At 34.3% G+C, this 26082-nt stretch overlaps 1 protein-coding gene and 1 long non-coding RNA gene across 16 annotated transcripts in view; one reads left to right on the forward strand and one right to left on the reverse strand.

Annotated features, from left to right (window-relative positions):
- Positions 1-26082, reverse strand: part of BRINP3 (BMP/retinoic acid inducible neural specific 3) — a 380207-nt gene that overhangs the window by 239006 nt on the left and 115119 nt on the right. The window lies entirely within an intron of this gene.
- Positions 5778-25486, forward strand: LOC105371658 (uncharacterized). Of its 2 annotated transcripts, none has more exons than XR_001738344.2 (3): positions 5778-5869; positions 6034-6092; positions 25400-25486. It is a non-coding gene; the product is annotated as an uncharacterized LOC105371658 (long non-coding RNA). The 2 variants fall into 2 exon arrangements; XR_001738345.2 differs by lacking the exon at positions 25400-25486 and adding an exon at positions 11062-11138.

The following is a 26082-nucleotide window of genomic DNA, read 5'->3' on the forward strand; positions in this document are numbered from 1 at the left end:
GCATGCATCCAGCACTGCAAAACGTGCTCTTTCTACAGAATCTATGGCTCATTTCTTAAAGTGAATACTAAGTAATATTCCACTAAATTGAATAATAATTCACATACTATCTCCTTCCCTCCCTCCCTCCCTTCCCTCCTTCACTCCCTCCCTTCCCTCCTTCCCTCCCTCCCTCCTTCCTTCCTTCCTTCCCTCCTTCCTTCCTTCCCTCCTTCCTTCCTTCCTTCCTCCCTTCCTTCTTCTGACTTTACCTAGAAAGATACCCACCAAGAATACTAATGAATATTTGGTGAAATAACTAAATAACTTTAGAATGTAATGAATATCATCACAAAACTATAGCTACATACAATATTATATAATACTAAACTAACCTGAGGCATCTTGGAAAGAGAGAAAGATCCAAGTGAGAAATCAGTCAACATGAACCATATGTTTGATGTTGAAGTTATGTTTAACACTCAAGTCTGCATACCGCCATGGTAGATACCTAGATAATCAAAGGAAACCCAATTTTCTCTATGTACCCCACTCCTACTCCCAGAAAAAAAACGGATGGAAACTGAGTAGTGTTTTCCAGTTCCCTATGCTTTGTTAGCTTTTGTTGCCTTCTGTTGACTTTGGATTTGGACTCTGTGATGGTTACTATTGTTACTCAACTTGATTGGATTAAAGGATCCAAAATATTGTTCCTAGTTATGTCTGTGAGGGTGTCGCCAAAGGGGATTAATATTTGAGTCACTGGACTGGGAGAGGCAGACCCACCCTCAATTTGGGTGGGCACCATCTAATCAGCTGCCAGCATGGCTAGGATAAAAGCAGGCAGAGGAACATGGAAGGGCTAGACTGGCTGAGTCTTCTGGCCTCCATCTTTCTCCCGTGCTGAATGCTTCCTGCCCTCGAACATCAGACTCCAAATTCTTCAGCTTTTGGACTCTTAAACCTACACCAGTCATTTGCCAGGGGCTCTCAGGCCTTCAGCCACAGACTGAAAACTGAGCTGTCAGCTTCCCTACTTTTGAGGTTTTGGGACTCAGACTGCAGATGGCCTATGATGGGATTTCACCTTGTGATCACGTCAGTCAATTCTCCTTAATAAGCTCCCTTTCATATATACACCTATCCTATTAGTCCTGTTCTTCTAGAGAACCCTGACTAATACAGACATGGACTTGGATACTATCTAAGGCCATGCTTGGGTTTTATTGTTGTTGTTGTTGTTGTTGTTCTGTGTTTTTTAAACTATGATAGTGTCTACCTCTTGTCATACTTTTATACGTGAAATGGGTCCTGTCACATATGAAAGATATTTTGCTTGGTGTTGACTTAATTTCTTCAACTATACTTTAAAAACTTGAAGTGTAGTTATTCCATTTAGTCTACATAATACATCCCTCCCTATTGCAATGATTCAAGGATAACAAACTTGATCTGATGTCTAGGAAAAACGTTGCAAATCTAAACTTGACATTTTAGTAACTTAAGCAATTGAAGAAGCTTTCAAGAAATCAAATCTCAGAATGCAATGCGAATGACATCTTTTCTTTTGCTGTAGTATCTAAAGCTAGTAGGAAACTAAATAGAGCAGACTATCTAAGCCTAGCTCTAGAGGTAATTTGTCATTTTGTTTACACTATAACAGAGTTAAGAATTACTTAATAAAGGACCTTATGTCTTGGATATTGAAAGAAATGTAAATTTGTTATTTTTTTCTGAATATTCTAAGTTGACTCTATTGTTGAAAAGGTAAACTTTAAGTACATGGTAATCTAAGGGCTACTTATCATTTCAACTCCTATTGTCCAGAGGAGAAAATAGTTTATTTGTACCGGCACTGCTACTAGTTATGATATGTGCATATATTTTATTAAGAAATGTTTGTAGACCAGAATATGGAAAGAAAACAAATGATGCATATCAAAACATAAGTGATGTTAAACGGAAATACACTGAACAAATTTTAGACACATGCCTGTTTTTGTCTATCAATTTATAATAAAATTGCTGTAATAGTATTTTTTTTTCCTAGTGGGCTGTGTCTTGCTTACCTGTACTATCTTATACTATCCAAGACCTCTGTAGAAATAATGACAGTTGATCACATTTTAATGTAAGATAATGTAATTTTAGACTTAGAAAAGGTAAGGAGTTTTAATTAAGAAAAACTATCATATAGGACCTTCATTTCACAAAGGACTAAAAACATAGTTATCAATATATTCTTGTTGTCAGTAAAAGGGAATGTTTCTTATGCATAGTTACAAGGTGTGATGGTGTAAGCAAGTATATATGAGAAAGTTTGCTTTTCCCCCACAGGCAGAGTATAGCTGATTGCAAATGCAAAATAAATAAATAAATAAATAAATAAATAAATAAATAAATAAATAAAACAATCTTTTTTCTTCAGCTTTCAGTGCAGAAACTAGGCAGCACACACATAATATTGAAAGAATGCTCAGCACAGGTTAATTTGCCTTACCCTCTCTAGGACAGTGGCCTTTCAAAAGCCTCACAAAAATAGTTAATCTACTTTATCACTGTTGCTCTTAAAGCTTCACAGGATACTCTGCAAAGCAGTAGCTGCACTGCAGATAGCTCTAAAGCTTCATTAAAATCAAGAATATCTTTGAAAAAGGATTGTAATCCTAGACTAGAAAAAAACAAAGTCAGATTTTTCCCTTTGTGGCTGGTAGAAACCCTGATAACATTGAGAACTCTTACACATCTTTCTACAGTATCTGTACAAGCTGCACTAGAATCACATCTCAGTTCACTGAGTTAATGACCTAGAAGAAAATAAGTAGGTTTCTCAGAAATTAATGCTTAAATGTAATTGAAGGTCAGGCAGATAAATTACGTTAAACCAGTAAATTAAAATCCCTGAAGAGGAGATCTTTTTCTGTCCAAACAGAAGTAATTATGGACATATTCCTTGGGCAATGATTTCATTCAGAGTGGCTCATACAATGTTATTCATGTGGCTCCTCTAGTATTGCCCACCTGCCAACCGCCTCCCGTACTATTTAAAAAATATTAAAACAAGCCAAACCCTTTTTCTAACAATATAATTCATTTAGGCATTTATTTCTGTTATCGTATGGGTGTGTTTTGAGTTCTTCATATCTTATCTTCAAAAGTGAGTTTTTACTTAGCAGAGACACACAGTAGATCAATACTTTATAGACATTGTCCTGATTTTATTTGTGAATTGTAATTTAAGATTGCAAAAGATGTTGATTTATTCTTCTGTCAAAAGGCATATATTTTCAACTAGGCTTCTATGTCCATTTGTCCAATTTATTAGACAGGTGCCTTATGACAGCACTAGTGAAATTTGATTGATTACACTTACTACCTATGACTGAGTATCAAAAAGAGGAAAGAAAAAATAGCTATTTCTATAGCCACACTTAAAACTGACTCATATTTTATATATTGAGCCTATACAATGTGGGGAAATCAAAGATAAATAAAATCCTTAGATAAGAAAAGCTTTCAATTCAATGTATCATAGGAATCTCAAATGACCTCTGGGTTATGTTATCTGCTGGCAGCAAACAGGTAGTGGTTTTACTGACTTGAAAAGTAATCAAGGAATAGAAAAATGGAGGACACTCCCCAAAAGACATTTGCCAAACTGGGTGAGGCTTAAAAGTCTTTATTTGAGCTGCTCATCTGAAAGCTCATATTTTCCATCTCATAATCAAATCTTTGAAGACTCTGCTGCAGTACAAAATCTTTTATGACACTCCTTTTGGGTCTAGCTCAGTATATACTCTTCCTTCTTATTGATTGATTTATCTCTCCATGGGTTTATTATGGGTCCCTGGACTCAAGAGGAGATAGTTTAATATCTCTGGAATTATGAACAATTTATCCCAATCTTTCTAATATTTCAGATTGACCAAGCAAGTCTGTGTTCCTGACACCCACATTTGAAAAATAGAAGACTATTTACTGGAACTTCAGTGGCTATAATGAGTAACACCACACAAGTTCTTAATTTATTTCCCCACATGCATACTAGAATAGAACCTTTCTTATGAATGAGAAAACAAAATCTCATAGGCCCTGTCAAAAAAAAAAATCTGTGTAATGTAATGTCAGCCACACTTCTCAATGCTAAGTACTTGGTCCTCAGCTCAATCCTTATTCTCTAAAAGAGGATCAAGAGTACCTGGATTCTAATGTAGAGAATACTCTATGTGAGCAGATATAAGCAATGAATTTGTCTGATACTCATTCTTTTTTTTTCCAAGAAATACTTTTTAAGGCTTAAAGATGTATCATTTAACAGGAAAGACAAAATTTTCTGCTCTTGTGCAGTTTATACTCTGTTGAGTAGAACTTATATTCATCATGTTAGGGACAAAGAGAAAAACTAGCACTAATTATCTGCTTGAGATAACTGCTATGCTCCAGTAGTTTAAGATGAAATCCGTGGTCCAGTCATCTGGAATTTAGAAGATCCATTACCATCACACTTCACAGAAAAGCAATCAGCCACTAGTTAGTAATTTTTGTTCTTCACATTGGTTAGTTGAACAAACACCTCTGTCTTTTTCAATGCTAATCTATGGTGAACACACCTACAGTAATGTCAGCAAACAAATTAAAATGTAGTAGGACAAATAATCACTTTTAATGTTTTTCATGTTCTGTTAGTATAAAATCTCTAACTACTTTTATTATACATGATAATATATGATGTTTAATATTTCTTCTATATTTATCATGTTTTATTTGCACAAGAGCTTTAAAATGTACTTTTCTTTCAGTGTGTGTTCCCTGGTACAAAGGCACTTCAAAACGCAATTTTATTTTTAATGTAAAAGTAATGCCACCCATTTTGTAAGCACATATAGCATAATACTTCCAATGAACAAAACAACAAAAAACGTGATCTATGAGTAAAGACCACACATATATTTACAGAAGGAAACCATTACTCTAGATTTCAAAGAGTTATCTTTTGACTGGCTTTACAAGATGACATTATTTGGAGATGACTATAAGATGGGAAAAAGAGGCAGAAATATCAAAGTTCCATAGTTGAAAAAAAATTACATGCACAAAGACAAATACACAGATGTAAAAACATACACAGACACAGACATATATATGTGTGTGACATTATCAGGAAGCAATACTAACACTTTCATGTTTCTGCAGTGTATTTGTTTCCTGTTTCTACCTAACAAATTATCACAAATTTAGTGGCTTAAACATTATACAATTATGTTAAAGTTTTGCAAGTCAGAAGTCTGATGGATGTCACTATGCTACAATCAAAAAGTGTCAGCAGGACTGAGTTCTTCCTGGACACTATAGTGGAGGCCCTATTTCTGTGTTTTTTTTTTTGCAGTTTCTAGAGTACCCCACATTCCTTGCCATGTGACCCCATTTCTATAACTTCAAAGTCAGCAGGGTTGCGATGGGTCTTTTTCTCAGTCTTGCATTTATCTGGTTCTCTGTCTTCTGCCTCCCATTTCTACTTATAAGAATTACTGTGATTATGTCTGGGTCACCTGGATAATCCAGAATAGTCTCCCCATTAAGGAGGCTATCATATAGTATTTTTTAATTAGCAACCTTAATTCCATCTCCAAGTTTACTAAGTAACCTAGCATATTCACATTTTCAAGCATTAAAATGTTGACATTTGGGGGGCCACTATTCTGCTTACATATTCATGGTTAGGGCTTTCTGTGCAAAAAAAAAAAAAAAAATGATGGGTTATAAAGATTCTGAATGTTTTTCCACAGGCCCATTTGCTTTTTACATCCTACTGGTGTTTAACCTGGAGTCTTTTGCTATTTTACGAAGAGTATTGAAACATGTCTCTCTGGAGTCAAATATTTCATTTCAGGTAGGCACTTGCCCATATATATATATATATATTTCCAAGTAAGATGTTTATATTAGGGATGTAAGATTTTTCTTCCTCTCTCATGAGGGCTACTGTTGGCAACTGGGCAGCATGTAGCCTATATAAACTTCCAGAATCATAATTTTGGGATTATTCTCTTGCAGACACCTCCCTTTATGATGTCAATCTAAGGGCTGAGCTAAGGGAAATAAATGTGATTATTGTAAGTAACAATACTTCTGATCTCAGTTATATAAACTACATGTACATTTTTAGGAAAAAAATGAATAAATATAGATGTTTAAACATATGAAGTATATCTCAAATGATAAATGTTTGTATTTAGCTGTGGCCTAGAATAAATACAGAATTTTCTTATGGGCCAAAGACAGAAAACGGTGTTAAGATCAAGTGATGAAAAGCTTTGAATACAAGTTTAAGGAGGTAGACTTCATTCAGTAGGATTCGAAGAACTATGGTGGCTCTTTAAACAGAACTGCGGCATAGCCATTAAATGTATCTAGGAAAAATATCTACCATCAATCAAAGTACAGGTTGAAGTTAAGATGAACAGGCGATGTATCAATTATTGATTTATTAAACTGAGGGAAACTGCTGCATGTATAATGAGGAAGAACCACCCAGGGTTAGATTTTGGGAACGGAGGAAGAGTGAATTAAAAAGTTGACAGAAAAATAAAATGAGTTAGGTTTGAAGAGGTAAATATTTAAAATTCTGTGGCAGATATACTTGGAAGAAGGTGGCTGTTTAAGGCTAGAGTTTGAGAGAGAAGTTAAGACTACAGATGAATAAATGCAGAAACTTTGCACAGTAAAGTGAAAACAAAACCAAATTAGCCTGATTTTGAATCTTGATTCTGCTATGTACTATGGTGAGCTACTTGGGAAAGTCAGTTATCCTTTCCAAAACTCAGCTTACTTAACTGTAAAATTGGAAAATAATAAGCATTCTGCACAGGTATTATAAAGGAAGGATGACATATAAATTAAGTGCATATTTGAATGCCTTGTATATAGTACATGCTCAACAATCATTTTTACTTTTATTATTATCATTACAATAATAAAAACCATTACTAGTATTATTATATTTAATCTCTAATTTGTTAGAGGTGTTAGATTAAAGAAAATTGGTAACATAGACCAGGGAGAGTACGTCTTCTACCAATCAATAAACCGACTCTGTATGTACTTCAATTACACTAATAAGGACAGAAGAATCATAATAAAATTATTTTTACTCAAAAATGAAATGGGCTGTATCATACTCAGATATCAAACAGCAAGTAGATTTCTTCTTATAAATATCTATAGTCATAAGCTTATTCCTATAGACTTGTTCCTAAGTCCATGGTGCCAAAAAATTGTCTTCTGAAGCATTTTACTGTCATAATGTACTCATAATATAAGGACAAAGCAGACAGCAGCATTATACACAATATCATGAGTAGACCTAGTGCTCATGAAAAAATATACAAAAAGTAAATATCAGTGGAGAGCTATACAACATATATGTGATAAAACGAACTATGTTTATTCACCAAGATAAAATATATTGTCCTTCAATTTCAGTAGAAAAAAATCTTCTTCTATTACTAATATAAAAAATAAGGCTGTTTGTTGAAATATCATTAGATAGTAACTAAATTTTTTGAGACCTTTATATGCTAGGAACTGTGCCAATTGTTTAACATACATTAATTTCATTCCCCTTTGAGTCTGTTACTTCAATACTTTCAATTTCGAGCTCAGTAAAGTGATAGAGAGAGGCTGAGTAAATTCTCTAAGGTCAAATAGTTAGAAAGTACTAAACTTGATTATTGCCTAGGCAGTTTGACGCTACAGAGCTGTACTTCAACTATGATTGCTGAATTGGCCATCAACAACAGTACCCTCTCAAAACTTTTCAGTGCAAACATAAGTAGCAAAGATTTGATTGTCTATTACTATTTTCAGTTCACAATTTTCTACTCAGTATAGCTCTGAATCATTACTAAATATTAATGTCATCATCATGACTTTCTTAGAGAACACTTTTTCTGATAATCATGGTTTCTTCTTCCATTCATCTTGAAAAATCTGACAAGAATCAGACCACAAAGGAAAGAATGTGCATAATATCAAGTGTTCACTGATAATCAGTCATGTTTGAATCTCTTAGCTAGGAGGTAGTTGAAAAGTTTAACATAATAAATAATCTAGCTAAATAATGATAGTGGTAGACACAGTATTAAATTATTGCTAGTCAGAGTATAAAGTTCAAATATTTAAACAATTTAGCATTATTTTAACCTATATGCCATCAACGACCTTAGGGAATAGACATTCAGAGGAGATTATTACTACAGAATGATGAACACTCGCTTAAAGCAGAAGTAGTGAGCACTGTGAGAACTATATAATTGGCTTTAATATAATTGTATTGAATATGCATTACGTACATTGTCAAAAAAACTGTCACAAATGATTAATAAATTTTAAAGTCATGGTATAAATTTCAGAACATTTTATTAAATCCATTAACCTGCCAAGTAGTTTAGTCAGGGTCCTTGTTCATGTATGCACACCTTTAATATCAGATCTACTGTAAAAGTTGTAAACATTGAGACTCATTGGTCTGAAAATGACCTCAATAAGTCTACTGTCTCTATACCATTCATAACCAGTTGTGCATGTTCATAATCGTTCCAGAAAAGAGACACAGATTTTCTCTGGAAAGGCGATTTGAAAGATCTAAATCCAGATTACTTAAAATTAAAAAAAATTAAATTCCAATTTGCCCATGAAATTGAAGCAATAGTTTAGAGCTCAGAATCGAAATAAAACCAAGACCTGGAATCAGGAAGAACATTGGAATCAGATTCTCTGAGCATTTCTTTCTGCTTCCTCTCTTCCTTCTTTATATTCTTTTAATCAATTTTTGCTTGGAAATACAATATTATTAGTAATATTAGTCATATATATCTATTTCATCATATTGTTATATGAATTAAAATAGAAAATGTTAATATTAGAATTAGGAAAACATGACAAAATTATGCAAAATGTGCATGTCAAATTATTTAGAAGATTATTGCTAAAACTAGCTAGCCTAACTTGAAAAACCTGTCATGGAAAGAATTAAATTACCGAAATCAACAACCAAATAGCCATTTACCTTCAGAAAAAAAAAAAAAAAAAGAACACTTGTTAAAATAGGTGGAACTCCTTATTAATTGTCTTCTTAAAATAGTAAACAGTGGAAAGACAATCTATTAAACAAAATATGTTCTTTCTTTAGAACATTCATTGGAAATCATTGCCAATTATCTTTCAGTCCTAAAATTGATTCCAAATATAGAAAGATGCATCCTCTCTGTAAATGATCAAAATAAAGATAGCTTAAATAGTTTAATTTTAAAATGTCTATATTTAAATAAATTATAATAGTCACAACCTGCATAAGTGAAAGATTAGATAAAATGGAAAATAGTGACATTTTAGAGCATCAGACATGAGAACAATAAAAGGGTTAAGAAAATGTAGCATTTCTAGCAGGTCTGTCATTTTAATATGTTTGCAAAGGCAAGTACAGATATTCTGAGAATAACCATCAACTGTAGTAAAATGATTAAACATAAAACAAATTTTAAAGACACTTAAAATATACCAAAAAACTGCAAAAGCCTTATTACCTAAGAGGTAAGAGGATATTGCCAAAATATATAATCAAAAAAGTGAAGATTTATTTATATGTGAAATATAACTAATATAGGAAAATAATGGGAACACTCAAAGCTATGGCAATAGGCTGCTAAACTGAAGGCAAGTGCTTTGTTAATATATAGTTAGTTGTATGCAAGACATTCTTACACTTTTTTCTCTTTAAATAATAATGTATCCTTTTTATCTTTGGTATTTCTGTACTATTTTCTCTGAATCTCAAACACTTTTTCGTTTTTAAAAAAACTCTTAGGTCTTGAGTGTTCCTGTGCTTATTCCTTGCCAAAGGATGTGCATTTCTTGCCAATATCTACCTAATTGTGGTTGCAATGAATCTGAGAAATCTAGCTAATCTCACTTAATCTAGATCATTTTTTAATACAAAGTGCTACCTTTCCTTAGAATATGCATTTATATTTTTCACCCTTCTTTTGCCAACAAACTGCCCCTCATTCTTGAGTACCCAGTTTAGACTTTATCCTCCCTAACAGCGATCTCTGAAATGCCCCAGAATAGTATACTTACATCTTCTTAGTTAACCAAAATATTTTGCATATTCTTATATCACAGCATTTGTCACAGTTTTATTATTTTCTGTTCATTTGGATATCTTCCACAAGAAATAGTGAATACCTTAAGGATAAAAAGTGTCCTATATTTTTATGGTTGTTCTCTTAGTAACTAGTACTCAGAAGCCTCTCAATAAATATGATTCATTAAATCATTTTTACAGTCAACCAGTAATAAGAAAATAGCTTATGGAAGGCAGGAAAACACAGTAACACCCCTCACACACACACAAAGTCAAAGTCAGTAGCAGTTACCCTAATAATAGCTATCATTTGAGTGCATGTTATTTATCAAAGGCTTATAGACACTATAATTATTATTATTATCTTTTTCTTTAGACGGAGTCTTGCTCTGTTGCCAGGCTGGAGTGTAGTGGTGCAATTTCGGTTCACTACAACCTCTGCCTCCCAGGTTCAAGGGATTCCTCTGCCTCAGCCTCCCCAGTAGCTGGGACTTCAGGTGCGTGCCACCACGCCCTGCCAATTTTTTTGTATTTTAGTAGAGACGGAGTTTCACCATGTTGGCCAGGATGGTCTCAATCTCCTGACCTCATGATCCGCCCACCTTGGCCTCCCAAAGTGCTGGGATTACAGGCATGAGCCACCGCGCCCAGCTGACACTATAATTCTTAATATTCACAAACATTATGCAAAATTGGAATTTTATATCCGAGGAGGATTGAGACTTTAATGGACTAATCTGTTTCTCCAGGATTTTGTATCTTTTCTGCCTAACTCACCTCATGGTCTATATGCATTCAGTAAATACTTGCTTAAAAATAAATGCAGAAATACCAATTTTCCCAAAAATTCACAATTTACAGAAATTGGCAGAAAATATAGTGAATTTCTCATTGTACTCACTAATGCTATAAATTTTTATTCTTATTTTTTTCTCCAGTAAACATAAGGATCATTGAAGTCTTGTGTTCGTGACCCATAAGATGACCAGATGCTTGGAATAGAGCTTGCTTTATTTCTTTTCTGTTACTTAGAACTTTTCAATTATCAATGAAAGAACTAACATAAACATGTAAAAATGTTCCCTTTATCTTTTACAGTAGGTGGCCAAGGAGCTAGATCACAAAGTAAAGAATAAGGTTATGCATTGAAGACTGTCTATATAAAATATAAATGCAATCATAAGTAGGAGCATAAGTTGAAACAGCAATATTTTAATATAGAAAATGGAGTAGAACAAACTACAGACTTAAACCTAGGAAGCATATGCAAAGTATTACTCACTTCACTTTTCCTTTATAGAGCCTTTGATAAAATTCTAATAGGGAAGAGAAGCTTTTGTTCAACAGATAAAACAGAAGTAGCTGTTCAGAAAGAGTACATTCAGAGAGGAAAGAAATGACTCCCCATGGACCTAAAATTTAGAAAGTAAAATAAAATAAAAGATTTTTATCTGAGATATTATTGCCTTAGTCCTTTTTGGCCTGAAGACTTTATAAATGTTTGGGCCATTTGCTTTGAACTCTGCAAATTGAGTGGAGTGCTCTCTCTGTGTGAATTCAACCAATAAGTGCTATTTGATTAGTGTCAAAATGTTCTACTAGTAACTAACAAATCTGAAGAGAAAGCCAGTCACCTCCAAATAATTCAGGTCTGTGGTCAGATCCTTTACACGAAATAAATAAAAGCCTCACAACTTCTTAAATTCAGTTTGTTTCTGTCTGTGCTTATATGTCTAAAATTATCCTGATATATCTGAATGGTTGTATAAAGAATTCTAATTTATGCACAAATCATTGCTCTGTTAACAATGTCTCACTATGGCTCCATATTTTCATGATCTAAATGACCCTGGAAATATATTAAGCACTTTTACATCTTCCAAAGAGTCTACTATTTTGACTTGCACTGCACAGGTGTACTATTAAATTGTAGGTGCATGTTTAGTTTTTGCCTTCACATACCCAGAGTAGGCAATTTGTATTTATTCAGGTATAGCAGACACACTTCTTCAGAGTTCACATTAACCTTATTTAACACAGCTACTTAGGATCAACCTTGATTTAATCCAGTGTAAAATTCACTGCCCACAGTAGATGAAAACAGGCACCTATTTTATAACACAACGCAACTTGTTCTTCAATAAATACCAGATTATCTTTATTTTTGTTTACTCTTATAATTTGTTGAGGCACATTAAAGAAATTATGAGGAACTTATACATTGAGTTCATAAAACGTAGTAGCTGAGCTTATGGAAGCATAATACTTTGATGAGATGGTATGTTGATCGGCCAGTGCATGGGATCATAAATTAAACAGCATAAGCAGTTCTACTAAGCTCGGGTATATCTGGCATGTGAGGGACAACTGACACCAGAAAATGACAGCTGCCTTAGTCTAGAGCTTAGTTTGGGGCTGATTCAAATTCCTCAATTTTTAAAGAACACACCAAAATTGGATTTCTCTATTTTTATTTTCATGAGCCACTAAATTTCACCAACTTTAAATTTATTATTTTCCAATAGTTTACAGAGATAGTAGGCAAGGTTAAGAGTGGAGAGTGAGTCAGTAGGGAAGTGAAGAAGGAGAAACAGGAGGTATTAATTTAAAATGTTAATTTTTTGAAGTATCTTGAGGTGAATGAATCCAAACCCATATGATAGAGTTCTAAAAAAGTTAAAATTAAGGATATAAATCTGTTTCTGCCTGGGTTGACAATGTGCTTTCTATTAGTCATTTAGGAAAGATCAAAGGCTATTGGAGATTGTAGGCATATAGAAGCTAATGTCTTTTTCTTAGAATGTAGTAGGATCATTGTTATTAGAATTTATAACAGCACAGTTCTAAATAGGCTTCTACAGCCAGTTTTGAATTAACACTTTGCATTCTTCACATAACCTACAGAAGCATGTGACACCATTTCTTCATACAACATTTTATGGACATTCTAAAATATGAAAAGTAAGGATTTCATGTTTTGGAAAGCAAATAAAGAAAAATGTATATATTCCAGCCTTCATAAAGGGATAATAGAGGAAGAAAGTGCTTACCATTAGATATGCCTAATTTGAAATTATCATTTTAAAATTTAGTATGATAATTATGAAAGCCAGAATTAGTATCTCCTTGTGTGTGGACGAGAAAATGCTTTTTTAGTACAGCACTTGTTCTGCTGTGATATAGAGTAGTGTTAGGGTGCAGTCAAATAGTCTTTTAGGAATAAAAGGAGAATACAAGGAAAAGTCAGAGGCCAGAATTAACATTAGCATTTGACTAGAAAACCAGGAGGCTTCCAGATAAAATGGCAAGGAGGTACAAACAAAACCACGCCCTTGGTCAAAAGGATTGTGTTCATTAAGCATTAGAGCTTATAGGATCATTGAAACACAAGGCTAAAGCAGACAAACAGATGAAATAACATGAATTTCATTCATCGCTCTACAAATCTCCTTAAATGTAGATCCACAGCTATGTTCTGGAGGTAACAGGTCCAGAAAAACAGCATATTTCTCAGCTAACAGTCACCAGAGGAGGTAAATGCTGATGACTTAGATTCCCAGAAAAGTTCCTAAAAAGTACAAACTACTGGCAATGCTCATTTTCTTCTCTCAACATTCTTCATTTTGATGCTTGGAATAATATTATTCCAGCCAGAGCTCCAGTTACACAATAGAAAATAAGAAGACCTTAAAAATGGACACCAAATACTAAAATGCTAAACTCAAAAGACAAAAGGAACTAGGTCACTAATAACCATGTGCATCCCTGGATTCTCTAGCTTTACTGAGAGAAAGAAAAATGAGCTAGTTTTTCAAACCACTGTGAAATTGAGTTTATTTTTTAAACATGGCTATGCCTAATCTAAATCTAAATGCCTACCTTTTCTTAATAGTTTAGAAAATATGGCAGAATTTGGGTCTGTATAACCCAAATGACATAGCAGGCAGGATCCTGATGGCCACCTGCCAGCATTCATTATGTTCCCCACTATAGTTTAAATGGGCTTCTGCAGCCAGAATCAATCAAGTTCACCTTGTTTTTTTTTTTTTTTTTTAGACTGTGTTTTGCTCTCGTTGCCTAGGCTAGAATGCAATGGTGCAAACTTGGCTCACAGCAACCTCCGTCTCCCATGTTGAAGCGGTTCTCCTGCCTCAGCCTCCCAAGTAGCTGGGATTACAGGCATGTGCCATCATGCCAGGCTAATTTTGGGGTTTTTCCATGTTGTCAGGCTGGTCTCAAACTCCCGACCTTGGGTGATCCACCCACATCAGCCTCCCAAAGTGCTGGGATTACAGGTTTGAGCCACTGCGCCCAGCCCTCAAGTTCACCTTTTTTGGTATTTTAGTTTTTCCTACATCTACGAAGTAGACAAAGAATGTCACTTAAGAGAATAAAAACCTTTTCTCATTTTAGAGATCTTACACATTGTGTATGTGTGTGTGTGTGTTTTGCATTGCCATTACTCATCAAATTTCAGATTCTCAATCCTTGCAATTGGATACAGCAGGAAGAGTAATTTATACTAGAAAGATTGCTAACATATGCAAAACTTATTTGGACTCTCATTTTGCTTACAATATAAAAATACTTGTAATTTTTTCAATAGTTAGTTCCACTAATGGATAGTATTAACAATTTATGAATATTTATAAATTCATAGGAATGAAATTCTGACAAAGCAAAATCTGGAAGAGAGGTACCCGTATGACATAAATTTGCCATTTGCAAATATTCATATATTGAACACTACTAACATATCCCACTACAGGGCAGAGAAAATTTGAATTTATAAGAAAAATACGCTTTTTGACCTGCTGAAAATACAATGGTCATTCCAGGCTTTTCACCCTGTTTAGCATCTATACAAGAAACAATCACAGAACTAAGGTTTCTATTAATTTCTATGTAGGCTATCATAGATTCATGCAGTTTGGTTGAAGAGTTTTTAAATGGGTCAGTAATTTCTTATGATACAGATATAAATTAACAATAATATGCTTTAAAATGTATACTTCTGTGCTTATCCAATTTTCACCATTTCTAAGATGAACAAATCAGTATAAGTAATTTTTTGTAAAAAATGCAACTAAATTATCTTTATTATGTTAATATGGTTGAAAGTTCTCTAGGAAGAGTTATTTGAATATGCTTTGAATAAGTTAGAGGTAAACAATTTCAAACATTTTAAATTTTATACAGAAAAAATTCTTTATTTTTAAATGCCAGACGTAAATCTTTATTTTTTTCTGTATCCAACCAACATAATATACCCAATAATAAAAATAATTGCATTTTGCTCCAAAATTCAGGACAATGTATCAGACTAGTAATTTAAAAAAGGAAAAAAAATTTGTGTAGAAAAAATATATATGTTCTGTGGAAACCATAAAAGTTTAGATGATCAGGGAATTTAAAATATGGTTCATCTATCATTTTGACTACTGAAAATTTGTTTTAGACCAAAAATATAGTTAAACACAATTCACAGGAATCAGTAAACCTTAATCTGTTTGGGTGATCCTGTTCCACTGGGGGAAGCTTAGAAATATGTGAGACTACTTTTGAGTTTCAAATGCGAAGGGTAAATACTAGAAGAGTTTAATGTTTGGTTCATAGGTGCTAAATATTCTGCAATGAGAAAGACAGTATCACACAAAGTAAGGTTTTCTCATAAAATTTCTATCCTGCTAAGAAAATAGGAATCTAGGTATTATCTATCATGAGAATATTTAAAATTCAATGATTAAAAATAGAGAGATTGAAGCTCTTAATTGAAGTAAACATATCATATTTTCCTACTTATAATAAAGAATTAAAAGGATGCAGAATGTATTTTTCAATGCTAAAACATATTTATATGAAACATCTCAAGACGTTATAACCTAATGTGTACTCTGTCCCACTTAACATATTATTATTTTATTCTATCTTATTCTGAAATCTTTCCATGACATCCCGCTATACCTCACAACAAAACCTACCCATTCATTAAATTCATAAGAGAAAATACTACCATAATTTTTCTTTCAGAGTGATTATACTGCAACAGATATTCTCTCTCTCTCTCTCTCTCTGTGTGTGTATGTGCATGTCTCTCTCACACATGCATGCACACATGGAATTCATAGCTATGAAAGTTAGAATTGTGTCTGTATACTATTTTCTGTAACATACAGAGCTTCTACCAGACACATGGGTGTTTGCTATTTAGGAAAGATGCCTTATCTTTGTCATCCATCAGCAAGCTGGCTTAAAAAAAAAAAAGGAAAACAAAATCTTCATTTATTAAGCATTTTAACAAAAATGATATATGCAGGCTCTCACCAGAGAACATGTTGTGTTTTAAATCTATTTCATGTTTTACATATTTCTGGCCTTTTTATAATAAGTTCCTTGGCTTGTCAGGGTAGGAAAAACTATAGTAATCTGAGAATCAAAATTGTCTATAATTAATAATACAAAATTCACAAAATGAAGAGCCAAAAGGTTACCATCTTTTAGTATTCCTCAGCATGATGCAGAATGTGGGAATAATGACATTGTAAGCCAAGAATTCCTCACTAATGCCACTTTGATTAGTGACTAAGTAAAAGTATGGTTTTTGAAAGTGAGAAGATGCTAGAAGTATGTCAGCAGCATCACTTCACATTAAATGATACAATTTGGTTTAATTAAAATTTGACTATCACTAGTATAGAGAATAATCTTGAGGACTTAGTTAAAATTAAACTCTGTTTTTAAAGCTACAACTGAAACACGATTATAAAAATAATTCAAACAAAATTTTGGCTATCAAAGTTTCTTGATTATCCTTGTTCAATGCTTGTACTTATACATGTGTATGTATGTATATTTTGGAGCATATCATTTCTCTCTCTTTAAAAAGGAAGTGGATGACACACCACCAATCATTAGTAATCCTTCCCAGAAACCTCAACTTATTGTCACTCCTCCATCATGCCTACGTCACCAAATCTTGTGTATTCCACCAGACATGACTGTCTTATATTTGCCCATATTACACCATCTCCACATACACTACCTTTAGTTTAATGGGGTCAAGTCTCTCCCTTTAACATCCTCTAAATAATCACCTTGCCTTCTCTGTTTTATCAGCTGATGCTTTCACTCTTAGTTTTGCTTTCTAGAACACAAATCTGATCGTATACTTTCTTTCTTGGAATCCCTCAATGACACCTTACTGCTGTCACAACAAAGTCCAAATTTCTGAACTTAACAAGCCACTTAAACACTCTGTCTTGGCTTACTGATCCAGTCTCATTTCTCTGTCACCATGTCCCCTTCCCTCACCAGATGTTTGAGTTCTCTGTGATGCTTGCTACCAATTTGACTAAGCTATACTTTCATGGCAGGCTTCCTAAGTTACTATTATCAAGTTATAGTATTTTATTGATTTGTTTATTCTAATGCTTTCTCTTAGTGGTTTGATTTAGGGCAGTTTAGCAATGTTTAATGTTTAATTATCAAAGCTGAAAATGGGGTGCTAGTGGCATTACATAATAGAAACCAGGGACTCTTCTAAACAAACTACGATGCACGGACAGCCCCACTACAAAGAATTATACAGCCCAAAATGTCATGGTGCAGGGGTTGATACATCTTGTTTCAGGAAAGAATGGTATCATCTATGCTGGAATTTTTAGCAACTAGCAGAGGGCTCGTCACTTAAAAGGTGTTTCATAAATGCATACTAAATGAATGTAAATAAATATATGTTCTTTGTACTACAGAAATTAAATACTACAGTGAACTATTTGGTTAAGAATTTTAAAATTAATTTACCACAGCTCATTGTCTCCTCTGTTCCTAAGTGCACAATATTTTCTTTGCTGAGATTAATTGCCACCCTTTGTACAGTCGTGATACCTCACTAAATATTTTTTGTTCTACCTCTAAATACACTGCAGATCTGGCCATTTCTCACTGTTTCCACTGCCACCGTCTCTTAAAAGGTCTTCTAAGTGTTTTTTTTTTTTTTTCCTATTTAAACTGTTGCACCCTTTCATCCATTTTTGTACAGAAACCAGTGATCATTTAAAAAATATATTGATCCTGTATACCTCTATTTAAAATTTGACAATTTTTCCCATTTCATTTTAGATAATAACAACTTTTAATAAAATTAATATATTTGAGGCTCCATATATTTGGATATCTGCTTATTTCTGCGTTACCTAATTCAGCTACCTCTATCCTAGTCTTTCTAAATTCTTCAGATTTTATGAATAAGAAATCAGAATTCTCAGGAAAACTCAGGAATCCCTTAAATCATATATGAGTATCTAATATTTTATACTTTCCAGCCATTATTATAGAAACAATATATACTTAATAAACAGATAGTATTAAGTTTTGTAGCATTTCTAAAGAACTATAAACTATGCTAAATATTCCAACACTGGAAAACATCAGGGAACATTACAGGGTAGCATTCAAATAATACAACCTTTGGATCTCCTAGTAATGTAAATAAGAATGCACAGAATCACTTACAAAATTGCCAGATTAAGGATTTATTTTACTTCCAAACTTGACATGTCATGGAACACCACTCATAAGATTTGTATAAAGTATGTAAATTAACTTCTTTATATAGATTATATTTACAAGAATATTCCACCATTAGCAGTAGATGTGGCCAAAAACCAAAAACAAACATTATAAGTGACAACAGCTAAAACTAAGCATGATATTTGATTGTGGCATTTCTTTTTTACTGCTATAAACCTGTTTCCCCGAAATATAGATCTTAATTCTTCCACTTGCATGTCAGTATTTTCTATTAAGTTATGAAAATTTTTCTTAATTTTTTAATTTCCTGATTGTTCCTAGAACTAAAATTAAGAAAAACATTTAAGTTTCTCAAGAAATTTCCTGGAAATAATTCATATATGGGAACATTAAGACACATGGTTATTCTTTCTGCAATTCCTATGTACCAAGTTTTTCCCAGAACAGGGAACTATTTATTTGCTGCTCCTCCTGCATAACATGCCATGCCTTTCAATCTTTATAGAACTGACTTGACTCATTCTTCAAGTTTCAGGTTTCAGATAGAATGTCCTTTCTTTAAAGGAGTATAGGATTGCATTTCTAAGCCAAATCCCTAGTCATATAATTTATACCTAGCGAGATAGCTAGGTAGCTAGCATCTGTCTATGCATATGCCTATGTCCCATCAAGATATAAAGCTATATATTCGCCTACATGTTTACTTGTTCAGTATCTGTTCAATAGGTGTCAGTCACTCAAAATGTTGGCCAGTAAGAATGGTCTCCATTTAAACTTTGATTTTCACAAACAAAAATGTATTCTACTAATATTCTGAACCATTTTAAATTTTAATTGAAAATCATATGTGCTCTATGAGGAGTACACATTATGATTGTTTGGGTTAACTCTAAATTTGAGCAGAATGCCTGGAACTTGAGATGAAGTGTATAGCTATTATTTAAATGAATGGATGGTAAATAACTATCCTCTTTTGTAGTCTGGCTATAATTAAATAATAGAAAATTGAATAGTGTCATTTTTTTCCTATGACCCGATAAGAAGATCAGTGTTTAACAGAAATGACTGTAAACAACAGTTTTTCCATTCAGGCTCTGTGAGAAGGTATTAGAAAGGTAGATGAACAGCAGTACATCCCAAACGTATTAATTTCCTATTGAAGCTATAACAAATTACTAGAAACTTGTGGCTTAAAATAAGACATTTCTCCAATGTCAGGAGGATAGCATCATCAACTGCACTAACTTTCCCTCTCTTATCTCTGTTTCTATGGTCACATCTTGTTCTCTGGTTCAGACCTCCTGCCTCTCTTTTTCATATTTTGATGAGAATGAGCCTAACCAAATAATCCAGAAAAAAATCTCCCAATCATAAGGTTCTTAATCTAATTACATCTTCAAAGTCCCTCTTGCCATGTAAGGTAACATATTCCCAAATTTAGAAGATTAAGACATAGACATCTGTGGGGAACAATTACCCTGTCTACCACACCAAGTAATCCAGGTCTCCCATTTGAATGAAAAGTAATCTCTCATTCATTTAACTGTTCATTTAATAAATATGTGGTTGACTTCAGTAATTTCATTAGGCAAGATTCACTCAAGAAGTTGGAAGGAGAAGGGCGACTGAGGAGACAACTAGGTTAACAGGTACTCTACAGAGGGACAGAGTGACAAATGCTTTCACAGACACATGGAAATGATTTGGGGGATGATGATTACCACTTGGCATACTGATGTTCCCCCATTTCTTTTTCTTCCTCCTTTTTAAACCCCAAGGATTATAATTTACTTTCATGACCAAACTTCTATTTTATATCAGTCAGGTTAGAAGTGATAATGTAACTATAAGTTTTTTCAGATCAGTTAGTTGCAATAATAAAAGGAAAACAGGCCTATGCATCTTTTTTAAAAAGACATTTTGAAATTGACCGCCTTGAGTGAACTGCCAAACCTAGATTTTAATTTGACTGATGTTTGTGCCTACAAAGGTTTTGCTTGTAAAGAAATTGAATTTTAAAAACAATTTCCAGAGGAACTTCGATTATAGTATTGCTTCACTACTAATTTCATTTACTTAACTGTCTACATGTGATAGAAAATTTTGATTATTATTAGTTTAAAATTTTCACAGTTTGGGTGCTGAATTTATGGCTTTGGTATACTGCCGAATCTGTAGTCAGTGTGGTATCTTTTAATAATATCCAAATACAAGAGCTTTTTGTGTAGTAAAGAATTTAACTTGGGCCTGTAGCCTTGTAGTATAGTTTGAAGTCAGGTAGCATGATGCCTCCAGCTTTGTTCTTTTGGCTTAGGATTGTCTTGGCGATGCGGGATCCTTTATGGTTCCATATGAACTTTAAAGTAGTTTTTTCCAATTCTGTGAAGAAAGTCATTGGTAGCTTGATGGGGATGGCATTGAATCTATAAATTACCTTGGGCAGTATAGCCATTTTCACGATATTGATTCTTCCTATCTGGTACCAAAACAGAGATGTAGACCAATGGAATAGAACAGAGCCCTCAGAAATAATACCACACATCTACAACCATCTGATCTTTGACAAACCTGACAAAAACAAGAAATGGGGAAACGATTCCCTATTTAATAAATGGTTCTGGGAAAACTGGCTAGCCATATGGAGAAAGCTGAAACTGGATCCCTTCCTTACACCTTATACAAAAATTAATTCAGGATGGATTAAAGACTTAACTGTTAGACCTAAAACCATAAAAACCCTAGAAGAAAACTTAGGCAATACCATTCAGGACACAGGCATGGGCAAGGACTTCATGTCTAAAACACCAAAAGCAATGGCAACAAAAGACAAAATTGACAAATAGGATCTAATTAAACTAAAGAACTTCTGCACAGCAAAAGAAACTACCATCAGAGTGAACAGGCAACCTACTGAATGGGAGAAAATTTTTGCAATCTACTCATCTGACAAAGGGCTAATATCCAGAATCTACAATGAACTCAAACAAATTTACAAGAAAAAAAGCAAACAATCCCATCAACAAGTGGGCAAAGGATATGAACAGACAATTCTCAAAAGAAGACATTTATGCAGCCAACAGACACATGAAAAAATGCTCATCAACACTGGCCATCAGCAAAATGCAAATCAAAACCACAATGAGATAACATCTCACACCAGTTAGAATCGCGATCATTAAAAAGTCAGGGAACAACAGGTGCTGGAGAGGATGTGGAGAAATAGGAACACTTTTACACTGTTGGTGGGACTGTAAACTAGTTCAACCATTGTGGAAGTCAGTGTGGCGATTCCTCAAGGATCTAGAACTAGAAATACCATTTGACCCAGCCATCCCATTACTAGGTATATACCCAAAGAATTATAAATCATGCTGCTATAAAGACACATGACACGTATGCTTATTGTGGCACTATTCACAATAGCAAAGACTTCGGACCAACCCAAATGTCCAACAATGATAGACTGGATTAAGAAAATGTGGCACATATACACCATGGAATACTATGCAGCCATAAAAAATGATGAGTTCATGTCCTTTGCAGGGACATGGATGCAGCTGGAAACCATCATTCTCAGCAAACTATCACAGGGACAAAAAACCAAACATTGCATGTTCTCATTCATAGGTGGGAATTGAACAACGAGAACACTTGGACACAGGAAGGGGAACATCACACACCAGCTCCTGTTGTGGGGTGGGGGGAGAGGGGAGGGATAGCATTATGAAGTATACCTAATGTAAATGACAAGTTAATGGGTGCAGCAAACGAATATGACACATGTATACATATGTAACAAACTTGCACATTGCGCACAGGTACCCTAAAACTTAAAGTATAATAACAAATAAAAAAATAAAAAATGATAAAAACAAAAGCTATTAAAACAAACAAACAAAAAAGAATTTAACTTGGGCCAGGAAGAGGTCTAGCCTTTTCTCATCGCTCCTGGGAGGTATTTATTTCCCTTGGTGGTTTGGACTAGACAGATATTAACACTGATTTACCATGGGGACTGACCATATCAGAAAGACCAATGGTGTGATTTAAGGTACAGACATTGAATCATGGGGTACTAGTAAACCTAGAGATTAAATCAACCATGTAGACATTTATCAATTATGCCTATATAATGAGGCCCCAGTGAAAACTTTGAGCCTCGCAGGGTACGATGGCATGCACCTGTAGTCTCAACTACTTCAGATGCTAAGGTGGGATGATCTCTTGAGCACAGGAGATTGGGTCCAGCCTGGGCAACATGGCAAGACCTGTCCCTAAGAAGAAATCAACCAATCAATTAATCAATCAATCAATCTCTGAACCTCAAACCTGTGGGAGCTTGGCCATACCTCTTGCATACTGTCATACATTGAAGCTGGGAAAGTAACAGGTACTTTCTCAGATTTCACCCTATGTACTTCATCCTCCTTTGTCTAATTTTAATTTATAACCTTTTCCTTTAATTAAGCATATATATGGGTATAGTAGCTGTCAGTGAGTTCTTTGAATTATTTTGTCTAATTATCAAACTGAGGATAGTTAGTTTCATAGTCAGTGGTGGACTGTATCCCTCTAACAGAATACTGGGCTAAACTCTTTTCACCTCCTAATATATGTGTGCGGGTGACATACAAGCTTATTTAGGTTTATTATTAGAACACTAAAAAGCTTTCATTAGCGAGAAAAAAGACTCACTTCAGGCTATAAAGGATTAAATTTGAAAAAGGCAGTGACACAGGTGTCAAATTGTTCATCATTTCCACTATGTAAGTGGCATCTAAACTGTAAATTTCCCTCACTCTACTATTCAGATTCTTTTCAAAGCCAGTAAACATCTTCAACAGATACAAAGTAATCGATGGTGGTTATTCAGCCTTTCTAAAGTGTTGTCCTTCAAAGGTCTGTGTGACACTTTATTTAAACCACTAATGTTCTCTCTAATTAGAGAAACTGCATAATTATTGTCCAAACCAGAATACTTTTGATATTGAAAGGGGATATTGTTAATAATTTATACTAGAAAAGCATGTAGGAAGCAGGACTATCTCAACAAATTGTGATATATGTCTCTAGCTTGCTGTGGAGGCAGATTTGCCTAGGAAAATTGTTTTAGACAAAATGAAAACAAAACAAGACTGAGGTGTATCATGAGTAAGTTCTATAAATCATATCTAAGTGTGAACTTTAAAATGTGAGAGTGCGTTACATATGAATTCTTTCATTAACTTTTTTCTGAATAATTCAAATTGCCTTTTGAAATTATGAATTTCTCAAATAATCATATTTTGCCCATGTAACAAGAATGTAATACCATATGACAATTTTAACTGGGGAAGTCAATGGCATTGATTTTTTTTTTAACCAGGCTTTATCGTTGCCTTGGTGGAAAACATGTGACTTGTATTTCAATCTATTCCCAGCTGTGTTTTTCCTGTTCTCAAAAACAACTAGGCGGTGTGTTGAGCACAGCAGTTATAAAGAAAAATAATCTGCAGTTTTCTCAGGGAACTTGCAATCTAGAGAAAGATACAAGGAAGAAAACAAATCATTATAATTTAATGTGGCAAAAGTTATACATCTACACAATATTAAAGGGGCATCAATAAAGACATATCTAACTCTGGAAGAGTAGTCAGGGAAAGTGTCACCAAACACTTGAAATGTATTTGTTCAGTATGTGGGAAGAGATAACAAATATTTCAAGGATGAGAAAATATGTGAAACCTTTAAAAGTCGGGGTGGGGAGGTGGTTGAACTTGCTCAGAGAATAGTGAGCAGATACATTTGACTCAAGCATAGATACCATGGTGGTTTGACAGGGACAAGCAGGAATAAGAGGCAAGGAGGGCTGTAAGAAAGAGACTGGGGTCAGTTTATGAGGGCATTAAGGCTCAGAGGAACCATTGAAGACTTTAAAGTCAGGAGATATTAATCAAGTAGGTTTTTGATGAAATAACTCTAACATAATTTCCGAAGAGATTAGAGATATCAGGAGCCAGGAACCCCATGGTGTAGATCATATAAGAAATAGAGAATGAATATGTAATTTAGGAAAATATAAGACCAGTTTTTGTTTTTGTTTTTGTTTTTTGTTTTTTTGTTTTTGATGAAGTCTTGCTCTGTCACCAGGCTGGAGTGCAGTGGCACTATTTCAGTTCACTGCAACCCCCGCCTCCAGGGTTCAACTGATTCTCCTGCCTTAGCCTCCTGAGTAGCTGGGACTACAGACACACATCACCACGCCCAGCTAATTTTTGTATTTTTGGTGGAGACAGGGTTTTCACCATGTTTGCCAGGATGGTCTCAATCTCTTGACCTCGTGATCCGCCCACCTTGGCCTCCCAAAGTGCTGGAATTACAGGCGTGAGCCACCATGCCTGGCCAAGACCCAGTTTTTATAATAATAATATTCTGAATACAGTCAATAATATTCTGAAGACTTCCATTAGGCATATTATGTACAAGGCGGCTACATGCAAACTTCATCATCCACAAAGTAGGCACTGTAGAATTTATGCATTTCTTCTATTTTTGACAGGTGGTGGTAAATGTTTGAGTTCTCCCAAAATTCGTATGTTGAAGGTGTAACCTTCAATGTGTCTGTATTTGGAGATAAGGCCTTTATAGAAGTAATTAGGGTTAGATGAGATCATGAGCTTATGGTCTTCATGATGAAATTAGAACTCTTATTAAAAAAGATACCAGATAACTTGGTCACTCTCTTTCTTTTCTGCCCACACATAGGTTATGAGGGCATACAGTGAGATGGCAGCAGCCTGTAAGCCAGAAACAGAAGCATCACCAGAAACTGACCATGCTGGTACCCTAATCTCAGACTTCCAGATTTCTGAAGAACTTCAAAGAAACAAAAGTCTATTGTTTAAGCCACCTAGTCTGTCACATTTTGTTATGGCAATGTGAGCTAACTAATACACTACCTTTAAAATATAAACTAATAAGCACGGTCTTAAGTTAATATGACTCATGCTAGGGGACCTACAGACATAGCATACTCTAACAGCAGAGCAGAGAAAAGCTTAGCCGATTTTGGGAATAAAAAGAAAACATGTGTTTTGTAGGATATTATGCCTAAGCTATATCTTAAATGGTAAGAATTCACCAGGAGCAAAATGTTAGGAATTTCTTGTCAGAAGAAATAATGTAAGCAAAAGCATCACTATTCACAGCAAACCCAAACTGGCTGATATCTGTGATAGGCAAAATTCTAAGATGGCCTCTAATGTGGTTTGGCTGGGTCCCCACTCAAATCTCATCTTGAATTGTACCTCCCATAATTCCAACATGTTGTGGGAGGAACCCGGTGGGAGATAATTAAGTCATGGAGGTTGATTCCCCCATAGTGTTCTCACAGTAGTGGGTTAAGTCTCACAAAATCTGATGATTGTATAAGGGAAAACCCCTTTTGC

Source organism: Homo sapiens, chromosome 1 (assembly GCF_000001405.40).
Source record: "Homo sapiens chromosome 1, GRCh38.p14 Primary Assembly".
NCBI lineage: Eukaryota > Metazoa > Chordata > Mammalia > Primates > Hominidae > Homo > Homo sapiens.